The sequence below is a fragment of the Homo sapiens genome, chromosome 18, assembly GCF_000001405.40.
Source record: "Homo sapiens chromosome 18, GRCh38.p14 Primary Assembly".
In the NCBI taxonomy this organism is placed as follows: domain Eukaryota; kingdom Metazoa; phylum Chordata; class Mammalia; order Primates; family Hominidae; genus Homo; species Homo sapiens.
The window spans coordinates 58,372,086-58,388,937 of NC_000018.10; the positions used below are offsets into that span (position 1 = coordinate 58,372,086).

Genomic DNA, 16,852 nt, shown 5'->3' on the forward strand with positions numbered 1-16,852 from the left:
TGGTATTTACTTAGTTGGAACATTATTTTACTTATTTATTTTTTTGGCGATAGAATCTTATTCTGTTTGCCAGGCTGGAGTACAGTGGCACAACCATAGTTCACTGCAGCCTCTATCCCCTGGCACAAGTGATCCTCCTGTCTCAGCCTCCCAAGTAGCTAGGACCACAGGCACACACCACCATGCCTAGCTAATTTCTTTTTTTTTTTTTGTAGTCATGGCGTCTTGCTATGCTGCTTAGGCTGGTCTTGAACAGCCTCAAGCCCTCCTCCTGCCTCAGCCTCCCAAAGCCGAGGATTACAGGATTATAGGCATGAGCCAGCAAGCCCAGTCTAGAACATTCTTTATCCTTCCTGTTTTCCTCAGATACTTTCACTCTTTTTTTAAACTTTATTTATTTTTTATAGAGACAGGGTCTCACTATGTTGCCCAGGCTGGTCTCTAACTCCTGGGCTCAAGTGATCCTCCCACCTTGGCCTCCCAAAGTGCTGGAATTACAGCGATGATATTTTCACTCTAAAAAGATAGAAAGTATATTGACCAGCCTGGCCAACATGGCGAAACCCCGTCTCTACTAAAAATACAAAAGTCAGCCAGGTGTGATGTCACACGCCCGTAATCCTAGCTACTCAGGAGGCTGAGGCGGGAGAGTCACTAGAACCCGGGAGGCAAAGATTGCAGTGAGCCAAGGTCATGCCATTGCACTCCAGCCTGGGTGACAAGAGCGAAACTCCATCTCAAAAACAAAAAAAAAAAAAAAAAGAGAGAGAGAAAAGAAAGTATACTTATGTCTGTATGTTAAATTTTGTAGACCAGTATGGCAGCTCCATCCACCATCCAGAGTAGGTGCCTTCCACTGTGCATCACTAAGGACAGGATTTAACTGCAAGCTCATTACAACTAAAGCAGTTTGTTTGTTTATAGTTTAAAGAGGAAGGTTTGGTTTAGGTGGAGCAGGAAACATTGCATTAGTAACATATTTCTTGAGCATTCTGCACAGAATTACATTAGAATGTAATTAAAGAAGTCAAATGAGTTTGTATTTTGGGGAAAAAATGCTGAATTTTCACTCCTGTGTCATTCTGTAGGATAGTGAATATTACAACTCTTTGAAATGGATCCTGGAGAATGACCCTACTGAGCTGGACCTCATGTTCTGCATAGACGAAGAAAACTTTGGACAGGTACATGTGGGTAACCCTGGGAACTCTTCTTTAGCTTTCAAGGGGCATTTTTCTTCTTGACGGGCTGTAACACAACTTTGCTGGACCATCAGAAACAACCAGCAGGAGCTGCAGGTGTTAATTTTCATCTCATTGTAGCAGCACCTTTTTGTCATGCCAAGACGCCACACTCCAATTACAACCATTTCTCTCTTCCAGCAAAGTTACAGAAATTCCAAGAGGCCTTGGGGCATGAACCAGCACCTCTTCTAATCCAAAGCAAATGTGAATGTTTCATTTGTGCCTCGGTTTTAGAATTTAGGTACTTGAAAAAATAGTGAGATTGTTGACTTAGCGATGTAAATACATGACCAGGAGTGGGTGATGTTGGAAGGGCCATTGGTTTTTCTCTCTGTTTTATGGTTCTGTTGTCATGGCGACATTTGTCTTGTGAGGCTCAGCATGGCAGGCTCCGGTTTTTCTACCATTCCCTCTGCTTTGCCCCCACGCTGTTATTCAGGCTGGACTAATCCTCAAAGTCAGTTTCAGACTGGTCAGCAGGGATTTGGATGGGCCACTGAAAGTGGATTTCAAAGGTAAAGTTGCCTGCTTGGAATAATTCTCATCATGCTAAGGATCTATGCGATGTATTTGTCTCAATTCTGAAGCCTTTGCTTCATCTGCCACTCAGTAATAATGATGCAGCTTGGGAGGTGTTCTCAATGTATTCTCTGACCCTGGTACCTGTCCTTCCGCAAAAGCCCAGAGGTATTTCCCATCCTTCAGACTAAATCTCCACGGCTATGAAATTAATTAGACCATAGAACTCATTGTAATGGTTGCCCTCTGAAAAATGAAATAGACGTGTTCTTTATTGCTAGATGTCAAAGATTGCTAGAGAATCTTTGAGAAAAGAAGCTGATGCCACTAGAGGATTTAATGACAACTGAGGGTAAAAATTGTTGGATAAGAAAATAATCACATTAATATCAGAATCACTTGTTATTCCCATGTCCTGTGTTTGAGCCAGGAGAGTTCAGTCTCTAGTGTGAGTCCTGGTGTGGGTGGAACCTGGGGAGTCCATAGGGCCCTTCAGTGGCTAGGCAAGGCTCAGAGAAGGACTTCAGGCACCAGAGGCAAGAGACCTTGTGGCTTAATGTAAATGATCAAGTCCTTTAAAAATCTCCTTTTGTGCCCCCTCCCCACTGCCCCCCTTTCCCGGCCTCCTCCCCACCCCACTGTGTTGTGCTTTATGCCTGAGAATCCTTACAGACAGGCGGACACTGTTCTCCTGCACGGGGACCTTGTGATGGGGCAGGGAGGGGTCTTTTCAGCTGCTGCCCCTCTGGTCTCCAGCAGCCTCCCCAGGACCGAGAGTACTGGTGTCTCCAGCCCTGTCTACCTCCTTCCTCTGCTGCCTTTGACACAAATAGCTCACTCCCCCCAGAGACACCTGCAAGGCACAGTGCCTTTCACTCCGGGCTCTCACCCCTCCCCACTGGTCTCCAGTCCCCTGGAAGTGCATGCTCCTCTGCTGGCCCTGTGGATGCAGGTGTCACCCTGCCAGCTGTCCTGCACCCGCTGCTTTTTTGTCTCACCCTTGCTATCTGGATTTCCTCATCCTACCTGTGGCTCCGGCTGCACCCATCTCCGCTCACCACCAGCCTCTTATCTCAGGCCGGCGTCTGCCTTCCAGCCTCCAGAATTCCCAGGTCTAACGGCCTCCTCAACTGCTTCTCCTGAGAGGCTCACGGGTCCCAGTGCTAAAGCCACTTTTTCCTCCCCAGCCCCCACATCGGTTATGGTCTCATCAGTGCCACCACTGTCCCCTCCCACCTGACACTTGGGCATCCCCTCAGAATCTCCCTCTCTCCTCATGCCATCTCCCCTCCTCATGCCATCTCCCCGTGCCCAGGCTTGCTGTGCCCCGTGACTCCCCGTCCTTGGCACGTCCCTGTCTGTGCACTCCCCTAGCCCTGCTCCGATCACTTCTTGACTGCTGTTCTCACAGCCTCCTGTCGGCCGCCCCCTTTCCTGCTTTGCTGTTCTCCAGTGCCCTGTTCTCTAGTGCCTACCCTGTTCTCCAGTGCCCTGTTCTCCAGTGCCCGCCTAGCTGTGAGCCCCTTATGGACTATTTCTGAAATGCAGCCCTGAAAATGTCCTTCTTCTACTTGGCCATCTTGTGACCTTCAGCATAAATGAAAACTGTTAGCATGGCATATGACCCCTCATAATCCAGACCTACCCCCCTCTGGCATTACCCTCTGACACCTCCTTCCTGTCAACCTGTCAACAAACAGTGTGCCTTCAAGGGTTTCCCCAGAGATGCTTCAGTGCCACATTGCTGGCTCGACACTGCCCACTCTGTACCGATGCATTCTCATTCTCTCTCCCATCACCTCTTTCCCTGCCATCCTCGAGGTATTGACTGACGTGCTGTGTGCTGTATGCCCCCTGAGGTCTTCTGGGTCTCTCCAGGGCTCAGCATGTAGTTGATGCCTGCCAGTGCTCATTGAGCAAACGAATGAGGAGTGCTAACCTGGCTTATTAAAAATATGAATAAGGTGGTAAGTAATAGAAATCCTAAGTGTGAGAAAACAAAATCAGTCAAGTCTTGGTGGCTTTTTTTAAAAAGCCGGACCTATTGAAGGGTCTTAAACTGCCAATTTTCAAACGATTAGACATGGTTAGTCACCCTGGAAGTATCTTCCTTTCATTTTTAACATATGAAGGAAGGAGTGGAAGTAAAGAACCAAGGAAGACTGAAAGTCAGTCTTGTGTGTCACATGCATTAAAAAAGTCTTTTCGTAGATTCATTCATAGAAAACCATATGACCAAATTAACCCAATTCAGAAAACTATTAAGCCACAATCAGAAGCAAATGATCTGGGAAACCTTCCTAATTACATTTAAATGTAATTGTTTCCACCTCATAAATGAAAGTCAAACACAGGGTGTTGGAGTTTTTAAGCAGGCCTCTAATAAATCTTCTGATGATCGTTCAGGCCAGATTTTCATTAAAAACAGTTCTCAGACCTCCTCGTTTAATGTTGTGAATTCTTCTGACTTTTGGGTAGGATCAAGTAGAGTAATGCATTAATCAAAACAGACCCATGAGATGAGTAAGATAAGAATTAGGTGCCCAGTTTGTTGAATTACTGCCTTGCCTTTTTGAGAGAGCTATCCTGATTAACAGGGAACTCACGTATTTATTTTGCACTCTGGGAAGGAATTTAGAGCAAGTTAAATAGCTGCATATGGATCTCATCTCCCATATCCAGTCCATCAGCGAGTTGTTCACACACCTCCCAAACCTTTCTCATTTCTGTGCATTCTGCCGATCTCTTCTCTCACTCACACCCAAGTCCAAGCTCCCATCTTCCCCACTAGACCCCCGACCCGTCTCTACATCCAATATGGCTTCTTATAATGGCAGAGTGGTCTTTTTGGAATATAAAAATGAGCATGTCATTCCTCTGCCAGAAACCTTCAGGGGTCTCCCCTGCCCTTGAGATAAAGACCCCAACCTTACTTTGTCCCACAAGGTCCTGCGTGGCCTGGCTCTCCCTGCTCCTCCTCCAGACTCACTGTGAATCACAGGCCCCACTGGGCTTGTCCAACACAAGCCCCTTCCTGCCTCAGGCCCTCTGCTTTCTCTTCCATCTGTTGGGAGCATACTCCCTCCCAGTCTCAGTTCAGGTGTCCCTTCATCAGGGAAGCCAGCCCTTGACCCAGACCCTATGCATCTTCCATGCCTGCCCTGTGGCATGTACCACAGACGACTTTGCATTTGTCTGAGTATGTTTGTGTTTAGTGCCTGTCTCTCCTGCTCAGCTTCCTCCCGATGATGGCAGCCGCATGCCTGCCCTGTGCTCACTCACTGTCGTGTACTTCCCACAAGCACTTTGCCTGGTGCATGGTGGGTACTTGTAGTTGTTGATGTGGAAATCTAGGTGTTAGCATGATGCCCGGACAAGCCTCTCACCTCTTTGGCCCTCTGCAAAACTGTTGACTCTGACCCAGAAGAAAGCCCATTCCTCCCCAATGCCAAACAGTCAAGTCACTTCCACAGTGGGGCAAAGCAAGTGCAGTTGTCATGGGGTGAAACAGACATGCAGTCAGCCTTCCACGGTGTTTCAACCTTCTTTTTTTTTAATTTCACAGTTAGAAATATCAGACCATGAAGTTTGGTAGCTGTTCCTTCATGTAATGAAGCTGCAGCTGTTGCCATTATTTTGCAATTTGTTTTCTTTCTGATTGGTAAGAATCTGGGGCTGCTGGTTTCTAGGGCCTAATATGAAAGTTTCCACTGAAGAAATGTCAGTGTTTGAACTATGATCCTGTGCCAAGCAGGAAGAATAAGCCGTACCCCCATTCACTGCTGTGCACACATACCTGCCCCCACCGGGAGGAGGGGCCCTTTTAGGGCTGTAACAAGTGAAAATTCTTTATTGCAAGTTCAGCAGAGCAACGTCTAATTTGGTTATGGGTTTGTTTGTTTGTTTGTTTTTTGAGACAGAGTCTCGCTCTGTCACCCAGGCTGGAGTGCAGTGGCAGAATATCGGCTCACTGCAACCTCTGCCTCCTACTTTCAAGCAATTCTCAATGCCTCAGCCTGCTGAGTAGCTGAGACTACAGGTGCAAGCCACCATGCCCAGCTAATTTTTGTATTTTTAGTGGAGACAGGACTTCATCATATTGCCCAGGCTGGTCTCGAACTCCTGGCCTCAAGTGATCTGCCCACCTCAGCCTCCCGAAGTGCTGGGCTTACAGGTGTGAGCCACCGTGCTTGGCCTGATTTGATTGTTTTGAAGAGCTGCCAGAAGTTTCAAGAGGCTGTGCAGTAGTTGGAGGGAGACCATGGGCAGCAGCCATATAGGAAGGTTCTTTAGGATCGGGTCGAGCCAGTCTCCATAGGAATGATTACCCAAAGGGAACAAGGAGGACATCATCTCAGACATTGAAGTGGTTAGTGGCCCTCCCAGAAGCCACAGCACATTCCACAGGTGTACTGTGGATCTCTCTGTTAAGATTTCATGGAGAGAGGTGGGCCACTGGCAGAAAGAATCTAAAAAGGCTCTTTAGGGGGTGATAATGAATTAAAAGGTAGAGAAACACTTGGGGGAAGGCAGTGAGTGAAAAGGCAGAAATGGTCAATGAGGGAGAGGGCAGAGCATGTCCTGGCGGAAGCCAGGAGCCAGACGAAGAGCCCGGAGCTGGAGGTGGCTCCCAGGAGCGCTGAGGCCCCGGCCCCTTCAGGCCAGTCAGGGACACAGAGGGGTGGCACCTGGGGAGACGGGAAGTGGGAAGGCTGGCATGGACTTGCTGCCTCCCTGCTGTCGGTAGTTGCGCTGCTGGAGAGGCTGGGGAGGATGAGGAAGGCCTGGTTGGTGGAGTGATGGGGGTGCAGGGTGCTGACTGCCCCCGAGGCCGTGCCCTGCAGGATTTGTGAGCACCCATCAGTGGGCGTTTGCCCAGCAGTGCTCCGTTTCCAAGAATGGAGTCTGACAAGCAGATAAGCCTTGCTCCACCCAAGTCCAGCATATTCCATATGAGCCAAGCTGTTTCTCAGCAGCTTCCCAGGCAGCGCAAAGCATTTATGGAGGGTCAGGGAGATGTGTGGGAATCGGGTTGTTAACTGGCCAAGGCAGGGAGTCCCCCAGAAGTTCCTCTGATCTCTGTGAGGAAGAGAGCCAAGTTTATGCTGGGGCCAGTAGACTTAAAGAGGAATTTTTCTACTGCAGTGTTCTCCCACGAGCTCTTGCTGAGCGCCTGCTGTGGCTGGGCATTGTGTTCCTTGTGTGGGGTCCTCCAGGAGCCCAGGCACAGGAGGGCGATGGCCCAGAAAGCCCTGGGAGGGCGGGGTGTGCGTTTCGTGGCTGAAGGTGGCAAGAATCCACCCCACAGAGCAGGCTCTGCAGACTGCTCACCAGGGAGCAGGGCCCCTGGGTGCCAGCACCAGCTCCATCTGCAGTTCGCTGTTTCTCCTTGGTCACTTTGCTGGATTTCTGCCTCCGGGATGCTGTCCACCCTCATGACGGGGGCCAGGGCGCTGCCGCAGCACCTATAGGAGATGCGCAGGGCAGAGAGCAGCCCCTGTGTGACGCTGCCCCGATTTCTCCCACTTAGGGTTGACACTGTCACGGTACCACCCGGTGTTCAGTGCTGAGGACATACAGTCCCTCCCCTCCTGTGGTGGCAACAGCTGATGTTAAGAAGGGACAAATTTGGGCGAAAGGAGAACACAGGCTGTAGTTAGAGTGATGGTGAGACAGGAATGAAGGCCCGCAGGGAATCTGTGTGCCTGGAGGCGAGCATTAGAGTCAGATAGCCGCCTCTCCAACCCCCATGGAGCCTCGTGCCCAACCAGCAAGGACTCTGGGGCATCGGCCAGTGGCAGTAAGCCAGTGTGGTGGGCTGGACAATATGCCTGCACTGCAGGAGACGGTGTCACGATCAGCCCCCGACAGCCGGTCTCAAAAGTGGAATTTGAAGAGTGGTCATTGCTTCTCATGAAAGTGTCGCCGTAACTCATGAAAGTGTCACCTGTAACGAATCCTAGAGGGATGCATTTCTGTACCACGGAGGGCTCGAGCCGAGACACCGAGATCTGGGGGCGTGACCCCTAACCTAGTAGCTTAGGGAGCAGAATTACAAACCCCTCATCCTGTGCCCATCCTTGGGCCCTCTCCTCACTCCCCCACAGAGAAACCCAGGGTCAGAATCAACCATGAGACTTGACGGCTGCCCACAGGATGATTTACTGCTGTGACCTCATTTAGCATGGGTTAGTGTGGGCCCATTTTTTCTTTTCTTTCAAAAATTATTTATTTATCTAATTATAAAATATTAACCTCCATAATAAAAATAAAGCCAGTATAATAAAAATATGTAAAATAAATAAATGTCACTTATTCCCAGTATCTCAAGAAAACTCAGGATTAAAATTTTTATTTACATTTTCCAGAATTATTCTCTGTAAGCACAAAACAGATTTTTTTTTTTACAGAAGTGGAATTGTACTCTGCATACTGTTTTCTTTTTTATTTTATTTATTTATTTATTTATTTATTTATTTATTTATTTTGAGATGGAGTCTCGCTCTGTTGCCCAGGCTGGAGTGCAATGGCATGATCTCGGCTCAGTGCAACCTCAGCCCCCTGGGTTCAAGCGATTCTCCTGCCCAAGCCTCCTGAGTAGCTGGGATTACAGGCGTGAGCCACCACTCCCAGCTAATTTTTGTATTTTTAGTAGAGATGGGTTTTACCATGTTGGCCAGGCTGGTCTCGAACTCCTGACCTCGTGATCTGCCCACCTCGGCCTCCCAAATTTTTTTTATTATACTTTAAGTTCTGGGATACATGTGCAGAATGTGCAGGTTTGTTACATAGGTATACACATGCCATCGTGGTTTGCTGCACCCATCAACCCATCATCTACATTAGGTATTTTTCTTAATGCTATCCCTCCCCTAGCCCTCCACCCCATGACAGGCCCCGGTGTGTGATGTTCCCCTCCCTGTGTCCATGAGTTCTCATCGTTTAACTCCCACTTATGAGTGAAGCTGGAAACCATCATTTTCAGCAAACTAACACAGAAACAGAAAACAGTTTTCAAATTAATATATCACACATACCTTTTCATGTCACTGAATATCAGTCTATAACATTCTAATGACTGTGCTGAATTTTACTTTGTAGACGTGCCATATATTTTTAACCATGCCCTGTTGGTAGACGTTTAGGCTATTTTAGTATTTTCTATATAAACATATAATTCTGTATAACCCTGGAATACTCACATATATACATAATATATATAGCATACAAATGTATAATCTGGAATATACATTTTGTGTACTTGACTAATTTTTTTCCATTGCTATAAACTCCAAAAGAGAAATTACTGTGAGAAGGGATATATAATTTTAAAATTGTGATGCCTATTGCCAAATTATAATATCTTCAGAAAAAGATTGAACCAATTAGACTCCCACCCACAGTGAAGGGGAGAACCAGTTCTCTGCACTCAGCAACACTGGCTTATTTTCTCTCTCATCCCTGGGCGCTGCTTTTGGAGGAAGCAGAGTGTTTTCCTCCTTAGCCCTCCCCTCCCCACTTTGTCTGTGGCCGACCCGCTCATTCAGTAGCTCTCTGGAAATTACAACTTTCAGGCAACACCAAAGAAGGCTCTGTGATCAAAGAGAGAGGGCTGGATGAATGCTGGAAGGAGTGTATTACAGGGATTGTGGATGCTTATCTACTTGACCTCCTTCCCCTTCCCTGTGCGAGGGGAAAGGGTGGGAGGAAAGATTCGGCTTGAGTGTAGCCGAGCTGTACCGAAAGCCTTCTCGATACCAATGCCTGGGCTGGGATTTATTAACTTGTCATTGACGTGGATCTGATAAGAAAACTCTTACCGAAGGAACAACAAGGCAGTCTGGGGAGGAATAAATGGGGAAAAGAAGAAAAGCCAACCTGGGTTTATTAACACATAGAACAAAAGGTATGGATGAGCACTGTCCACGCACCTCTGAGAACCAGCCACGAACTGGCAGAGTTTCACTGTAGAAACATCCCCACCCCACCCCCAAGTGGAAGCTGTTTGGCATCCTCCATCCCCAACACGGCCTGTACGGGGCAGGAGCAGATGACCCCTGGGAGAAAATGGGATGCACTGGGAAGATGGCAGCTAGAAAGGGAAATGGAGAAATGAAGGATGTCAGCAAAACCGGAAACGCAGCAAAGGGATTAAAATTCACATTGGGCACAGTGAAGAGTTCAGTTGACTTTGCAGAAATGGAAAGCATAGTGGAAAAATGAGATTCCTTCCTGAATAAAGAGAAAAAGAGAATGTCGAGGGACCGGATGGATGATGAATGTGTTTTACGTTGAAAAGCCATCTCAGTGTGAATGGGAACAAGAGCCAGTGCGTGGAGAAGCCGCATGAGAGACCCAGGTGTGAGTGCTCGGGTCAGAGGGGCTCAGGATCTCCTGGGTGCAGGTGGCAGGACCAAGGAACCCCTGGAGGTGGCCTCTGCCAGGGCATAGAGTTCATCACAACATGGAACCTCCATCCCTCCTGGGTACCACCCTAACACTTACTTTGGAAAACCCTCTCCCCTGGCTTGGTTTACTCTATAATGCAACCAGCAGGCAGAGGAAAAAAGATTTAGAGGGAACCCCACCAAAATAGTGGCATGGCTTTCTTTCAGTAGGAGAGGTGTAGGTGCTATATTTTTCCACCTTTTTTCCCCAAAATTTCTACAATGAGAAAAAAACATTTTATTTTAAAATAGTAGGCCTCTCTCCCTTCCCTCACGCTGGTTACTGTGCTATGTGGCCTTATGGTAAGCTAGGTCTGGGTCAGGGCATAGGAGAAAGGGCTGCCCTGATTGCAGCTGCTTTTTTCATGATCATGGGTGGTGCTAAGGGAGGAAGCTTCAGGGCAGATGAGTGAGGAGAAGGCGTCCAATGCAAATAAATGCCTTCAAAAACCAGATAAATCTGTCTCTTCAGCCTGGATCCTTAAGCTTCTTTCTTGTCTTTAAGTTTCTGTTTGCATTTTTGAAAGAAATACCATGCATCCTTTTTTTATGACTAGAAAATATAATTTTCAGAAACAGAATGCATTAGAATTTGGATTTCTGGAGTCTTGATGGGTGTACCCTGTTCTTTTCTCTGTTAAACATAATTAGTTTCCTGATAAATGAATAGCAGAGGAAAAAATGTTGCTCTTCATTATTGCTAATATATGAAGAATAATTAAAAGTCATAAATAACCATAAAACAATTTGCCTTTAATGATAGCATCTTTAACTGTGTAACATCCTAGCAAAAAAGCCTCATTGGACATTCTCTTGTGCACAGAGCCCATTTGCCGGGAAATATTTCTGAATACATGTTGTCTTCCCTTTATAGTAAGACATTGTCACTCAATAATAATATGCAAGATAACTTCGTGATAGTAATTGTTGTTTTGTCTTTGTAATTACAGACATATCAAGTGGATTTGAAGCCCAATGGGTCAGAAATAATGGTCACAAATGAAAACAAAAGGGAATATATCGAGTATGTATACACATATTTACTGCCTTTTCTTTGAATAATTGAAATGCATGTTTGGTCACTGTCCCTTGCTGAAACAGCTCATGCATTTATTATGGGCATGAGTTTATTGGTCAGTTTTCAACAAGGTAAGTTCTTTTCTGGCTTGGGCTAATGGGAAGTTGAATATGGGATGGAAAGTCTGTCTTGTATCATGACTCCATTGAGCTGCCCTATAAAGGAGCAGAGGAGGGAGAAAAGGTCTATATTATTGAGTAATACGGCAAATACTCTTTTGGAATATGTGGATATCAACTAAGATTTAGAATTGCAACGGAGAACCACGGTGTCAGTGACCAGCAGGGCAAAATTAGGAACCAACAAAGAAAAAATATTTTGTCTCTCTCCCAACTTCTTTTCCATAATAGAAATGTATAGAAATAGTTAAAATGGATAGGAAGAATTCAGCATGTGCAACCCTAAGGAATTCTTTCTGGTATTTGTAATATTCTTAACTCAACTTCAGCCTCAGTGGAACAAAATGTTGAGTCTTTTTGGAAGTCTAGCTGTTAAGTGATTCTAAGACATTTGTACCAGGCAGAAGTTTTTCTCTGTTGGGCACGTTACGTTTTCTTTTTTAGTGTATATGTGTGCTTCAAATGCATAACTCTGGGATCTTCCAAGGAGATCCCCTGGTGCAGGGGTGAGGTGAGCACTGCAGTGTGTGGTTCCTGGCACCTGGTTTCTGCTCTCTTGTGGGTCGCCACAGTGGCCCTGAGTTCCTCGTTTGCATTCAGTGCTTCGTTTCAACAGGCTAGGCTCCCTCCTTTCTTCTCATTTGGAATTGGTCAGAGGTCTTGAAATCAGACAGCTCTTGCATTGACTGTGGGTCTTAGCACCTTTCAGTGTGATCTGCAAAGAAAAACCTACTGTCCTTCCTAATTAGGAAGAAACGGAGCGTGTTAGAGTCTCTACTCAGAGATCCTGGCAAGGAGTGGAACTATTACATGGCGGACTCTTTTCACTCTCAAGTTGAAAGCTTGTTATGCTGAATACATAGACTAGAAATAAGGTACCTCGGTTCTTACCTGGCCACATTAATTGGCACTCTCGTTCTGAATATGAACAATCTTAGCTGATGACATCCTGGCAGACACCATTGTCTTCCTTCAGAAAGTACAGACTGTGAGTGGGGTTTAAAAAATATTCTAGCTCAGGGTGACCCAGGTCTCAAGTCTGAGGACTCTGACATGCGTGGTATGTGTCTTGCATCATTCTTTGCAGTTAATTCTTTTAGGGTTCAAACGTGGTGGGAGTCAGGGCCAGGCAGGGTTCCAGCTAGCTTTACTTTTAAAAGTATAATTGAAATCACCAACTGCTCCCTGATACCTCTGCTCCCCTGGTGCCAGAAGAATGCTGTTGAGCTGTTCATTGTAGCCCAGGAGGTGCCACCTGAGAGGCCGCACAGTGGTTGTGCTGCAGGCTGGTCCTCAGGGCCATTACCATGGTTACAGTGTACCACCCCGAAGGTGAGAACCCTTCAGAATGATGGAATGCCTGAGATGACATCCAGAGTACATTTGCCTTGCGATCAGTTTTGCTGTGCATTAAACACTGTCGCAGGGAACTTGGTTTTGGTGAACTTCAGTTGCATAAGGAGGTCTTACCATTCATCCTCTAAATTTTGGCATTAAATTATGAGTGCAAATCATTTTGCTGATAAAGCTTATATGTTATTGTTGAATATTAGCACATTGGATACTAGAATGAAATATTAGATAACTAAATGCATTGTCCTGAGTACACTTTACAAATATGTATACATATATGTGGGTGTGTATACGGGTGTGTGCATCTTATACATGTATACCTGTGTGTTCATACCCCATGAACTTTTCCCTTTTCTCCATGTTGTCACATTTTAAAGCAGTTAAAGCATTTAAAGCATTTTAAAGCAGTTAAGCATTTAAAGCAGTTTAGGTCAGCCAAACCTTGATGTGGGGGAAGTTAATTACTCTTTTGAAATCTCCAGTGAGATTTTAGGTTTTTCACGGGTGTTCCAGGGAGTCTTGAAAGAAGCCATGAATAAACTAAACAGTGGGGGCACAGAGGAGACCCTCCCCTCTGCTCTGCTGTCGTGGATGGAGGAGAAGCACTCCCTGTTGCGGAGAAAGCAGTGAGCACTAGTGATGATGGAGGTGGTTCAATATTGTCCTCTTTTCTCCTGCAGCTTAGTCATCCAGTGGAGATTTGTGAACAGGGTCCAGAAGCAGATGAACGCCTTCTTGGAGGTAAGCCATGCTGGCCAGGGTTCTCTGCCATGTGCCTCTGGTCCCGGGTCGATGGGGGATCGCGCTTCTCCTTTAGCTAGTGTGGTGGAGCTGATCAGAGACAGAGGCGAGGCTGGGGACCCTGCAGGAAGACCGGGATCGCACAGCTCACACCGCTGGCCAGTCTCCAGCACAAGAGTGTTCAGCCACCGTGCCGCCACCTCCTTTTCCTTTTCACGGGTTCTCCTGCTTGACTTCTCTTATTTTTACATTTGTCCTGTTTTTAAAGAGGACGTTTTACAGACTTGATCTAGAACCATTGTCTTGGAGTTTCAGGCGGTACCCAAGAGAAGGCTGCCTTTTGCTGCAGTGACAGGTTCCAAGAAGCCCGAGGGCTCAGAGCTGAATGATGAAGCGCAGTCCCCAAAGTGCCTGGCCACCCCTCCCTCCCTGGATCACTGCTGCCTGGGCTTGATTGATTGATTGATTGATTGATTGATTGATTTTGAGAGAGATTCTCACTGTCACCCAGGCTGGAGTACAGTGGTGCGATCTCGGCTCACTGCAGCCTCTGCCTCCCGGGTTCAAGCAATTCTCCTGCCTCAGCCTCCCAAGTAGCTGGGACTACAGGCACGCGCCACCACACCCAGCTAATTTTTGTATTTTTAGTAGAGACGGGGTTTCACCATGTTGGCCAGGATGGTCTTGATCTCCTGACCTCATGATCCACCCGCCCCGGCCTCCCAAAGTGCTGGGATTACAGGCATGAGCCGCCGCGCCCAGCCATGGACATTTTTTTTTAATCCCCTGCCCTTTTTCTTTGTGGCATAATTCATTGCAGGTTCTCTTCTATACAGATACATGGAAAACACATTTTCTTAAGCTGAGTTTTTATTTATTTTATACCCAGCCACCTCATGACAGCTTTTACCCTGTTACAGAGCAAAGTGGGCACTGCCCAGATCGAACTTTTAATATCAGGGATGCTCCCAGGCCCCTAGCAGTGGGTGAGGGATTCATCATTTTAAACAGTATTCCACTTGGACCAAAAGCAAAATTCTTTCTTAAATATGATATAGTATTAGTTACCTCAAAGATCACACAGGAAACAGCCTCGTGTCCACGTGACTGATTTTCTCTGCACTGAGGCAGAGCTCTCGTGGGGTGATGCTTTCCCTTCACTCAGGTACCTACACAGGATGCGTGAAAGCCCGGGCAGCACACTCAGAAACAGCTCGGGGCCTTAGGGACTTAAAATGGGAGGACAGAATGGCAGGTTTCACTCTTTATTTAGATAAGAAATCCCAGGAAGCAGATTCCTGGGCCCCACCGCAGGCGGTCCACACCTTCAGAAACGCGGCGTTCGCAGCGCGCAGGGCCCAGCAGAGCTGAGCTCATCCTAGATCACGCCACAGTTAGTGGTACCTGGGAACTGGAGCATGGTTTTCTGTACGCACAGTGTCTGCACCCATCACCTGCCTCCCTCTGTGTTTCTTCTCCCTGCCTCCAGCACGTTATTTTTAAGCGTGTCTCTTACACATCTGTAGCCTGTGCATCTTAGGACGCACTGACTCACAGCAGTGTTATAAATGGCTTTTGGAATCCACCCTGCCTACAGTATCCCATATTTTCATCAGGTTTCAGAAATTACTCCACTACTTGAATCTTCTAGATTCTATGCTTTTTCGAAACTGTTATATTGTGACTGTGCTGTTTTTACTGGAACTATAGTTACTTGATACTGTCACTGACATAGGAATCATCAGGAGAGATTATATTTTTTTCTGGCTAACCAGAAAAGTTTGTTTTTCCTGTGAAATTTTTTTTTTTTGAAGGCAATAGGTGTTTAAGATGTTTTTTTTTTTTCTTTCAGGGATTCACAGAACTACTTCCTATTGATTTGATTAAAATTTTTGATGAAAATGAGCTGGAGGTTTGTATTATAAACATTATTTTATGTAAAGTGGATTTTTTAAAGTATCTCTCATTACTTTACAAGTAATATTTTAATATTCTTGGATCCATAATGTCCTAGAGAGTAACTTTAGATGAATTATATTACATGTCTCTTATAGGGCTTATTTGCCAATGTGGTTCTATTACATGTCTCTTATGGGGCTTGTTTGCCAATGTAGGAGTAAGGAACAGCAAAAATAATCAGCTGTAGTTGCCTTGTCCATCAGAGGGCAGTTCTGGAACATGCCTAGTAAGTAGAGGCCACTGAGCAGAGCTGGGATCATGGCCCTATGCACCAGGCGAGGCAAATTGCCACAACAAGTAGAAACAAGGTTTGCAGTAGCCCTCTGGACAGCAGAAACCTGCTTACACTACCAGACTGGCCAAGTATCCTCTGCTGCATCCCCATCCACCCCCACCGTGGCAGCCAAATGGGGGTCTTGGCCACAAGGTGGCCGTAAGCATCTACTTGGGCCTGTAGAACGACGTCTCATTGAACTTGAAGTGGTTTATGTTGAGTGAGGAAAAATGTCAGAAGGCAACAGGGTTGTAGCAAAAGGTAGTTTAGTGATTGTCTAGTTCAGCTTCTTGGTGTTGACATAGTTGAGTAACAGCCATTTTAAAAACAAAGGAATATCTCGCCCTTTGTTGTGTCGAGAGAAACAGGGGAAAGACTGTCTGTTGAGAAGCCGTTGGTGGGACTCGGCCATTTGCCCCGTCCATAGCCAGTGAGTGTTTCCCATACACTGGCCTTCTATACTTTTATCTCAAAACAGAAAGTTCAAGATCGATGATGTCTATAGAAATCATATACCTCAAGCCTTTCCTCTGATAGGTGGGAAACTGAGGCAGAGAGCAGCTGGGTTTACCCAGCAAGGTTTTGGCACGGTCAGGCCTAGGAACTTTATTTCCAGGCTTCTGGCTTAGTTCTGTTTCCATTTCATTCTGGTACCTTTGCATAAATATCTTCCATTTGTCCACAGGAAACCTCCCCTGATGGAGAGTTGCATAATAGGAACGGCAAACCTTAGACTAAATGCTAAGTCGAAGACCCAGTTGTGCCTTAGCGTATGTCTGCCATTCTTAGGCCTCTGGGCAGATGAGGTGATTTGTCATCACTGGAATTGATCAACCTGGAGGAGAGTCATAAGCACTAATTCTTTTGTGGGTAGGGAGATGCTTTTAGATATTCAGAGGAATAACCTCTCAGGAGGAGAAGCAGCCAGGGTAATGCACAGATGCTGCTGGAGCGTGAGAGAATCCACAGGTCCCATGCGTAAGACTAGAGGGGTAGGGAGGACGACTGTGGCATTTTTATATCCGATACGACATGCCGTGGCTTGCGCAAGGTTCGAATTGAGCTGCCCTCGTGACTGCTGCCTCTGTGATCTGCTATGGCAGGTGGAGCCTGGAACA

At 46.4% G+C, this 16,852-nt stretch overlaps 1 protein-coding gene across 50 annotated transcripts in view, besides 2 other annotated features; it reads left to right on the forward strand.

Moving 5' to 3' along the window:
- Positions 1-16,852, forward strand: part of NEDD4L (NEDD4 like E3 ubiquitin protein ligase) — a 357,315-nt gene that overhangs the window by 327,860 nt on the left and 12,603 nt on the right. For all 50 annotated transcript variants that reach the window (XM_006722426.5, XM_047437406.1, XM_047437407.1 and 47 more), the window contains 4 exons: positions 1,089-1,184; positions 11,161-11,234; positions 13,441-13,501; positions 15,354-15,413. In XM_006722426.5, the coding sequence (XP_006722489.1) occupies positions 1,089-1,184; positions 11,161-11,234; positions 13,441-13,501; positions 15,354-15,413 (291 nt within the window). The remainder of the gene's footprint in view (positions 1-1,088; positions 1,185-11,160; positions 11,235-13,440; positions 13,502-15,353; positions 15,414-16,852) is intronic.
- Positions 5,876-6,412: an enhancer, noted in NCBI's record as "H3K27ac-H3K4me1 hESC enhancer chr18:56045193-56045729 (GRCh37/hg19 assembly coordinates)". NCBI's record gives its function as "activates a minimal SCP1, AML or CMV promoter by ChIP-STARR-seq in primed H9 embryonic stem cells {active_cell/tissue: H9 hESC(primed)}" and the evidence as "EXISTENCE:reporter gene assay evidence [ECO:0000049][PMID:30033119]".
- Positions 6,413-6,948: an enhancer, noted in NCBI's record as "H3K27ac-H3K4me1 hESC enhancer chr18:56045730-56046265 (GRCh37/hg19 assembly coordinates)". NCBI's record gives its function as "activates a minimal SCP1, AML or CMV promoter by ChIP-STARR-seq in primed H9 embryonic stem cells {active_cell/tissue: H9 hESC(primed)}" and the evidence as "EXISTENCE:reporter gene assay evidence [ECO:0000049][PMID:30033119]".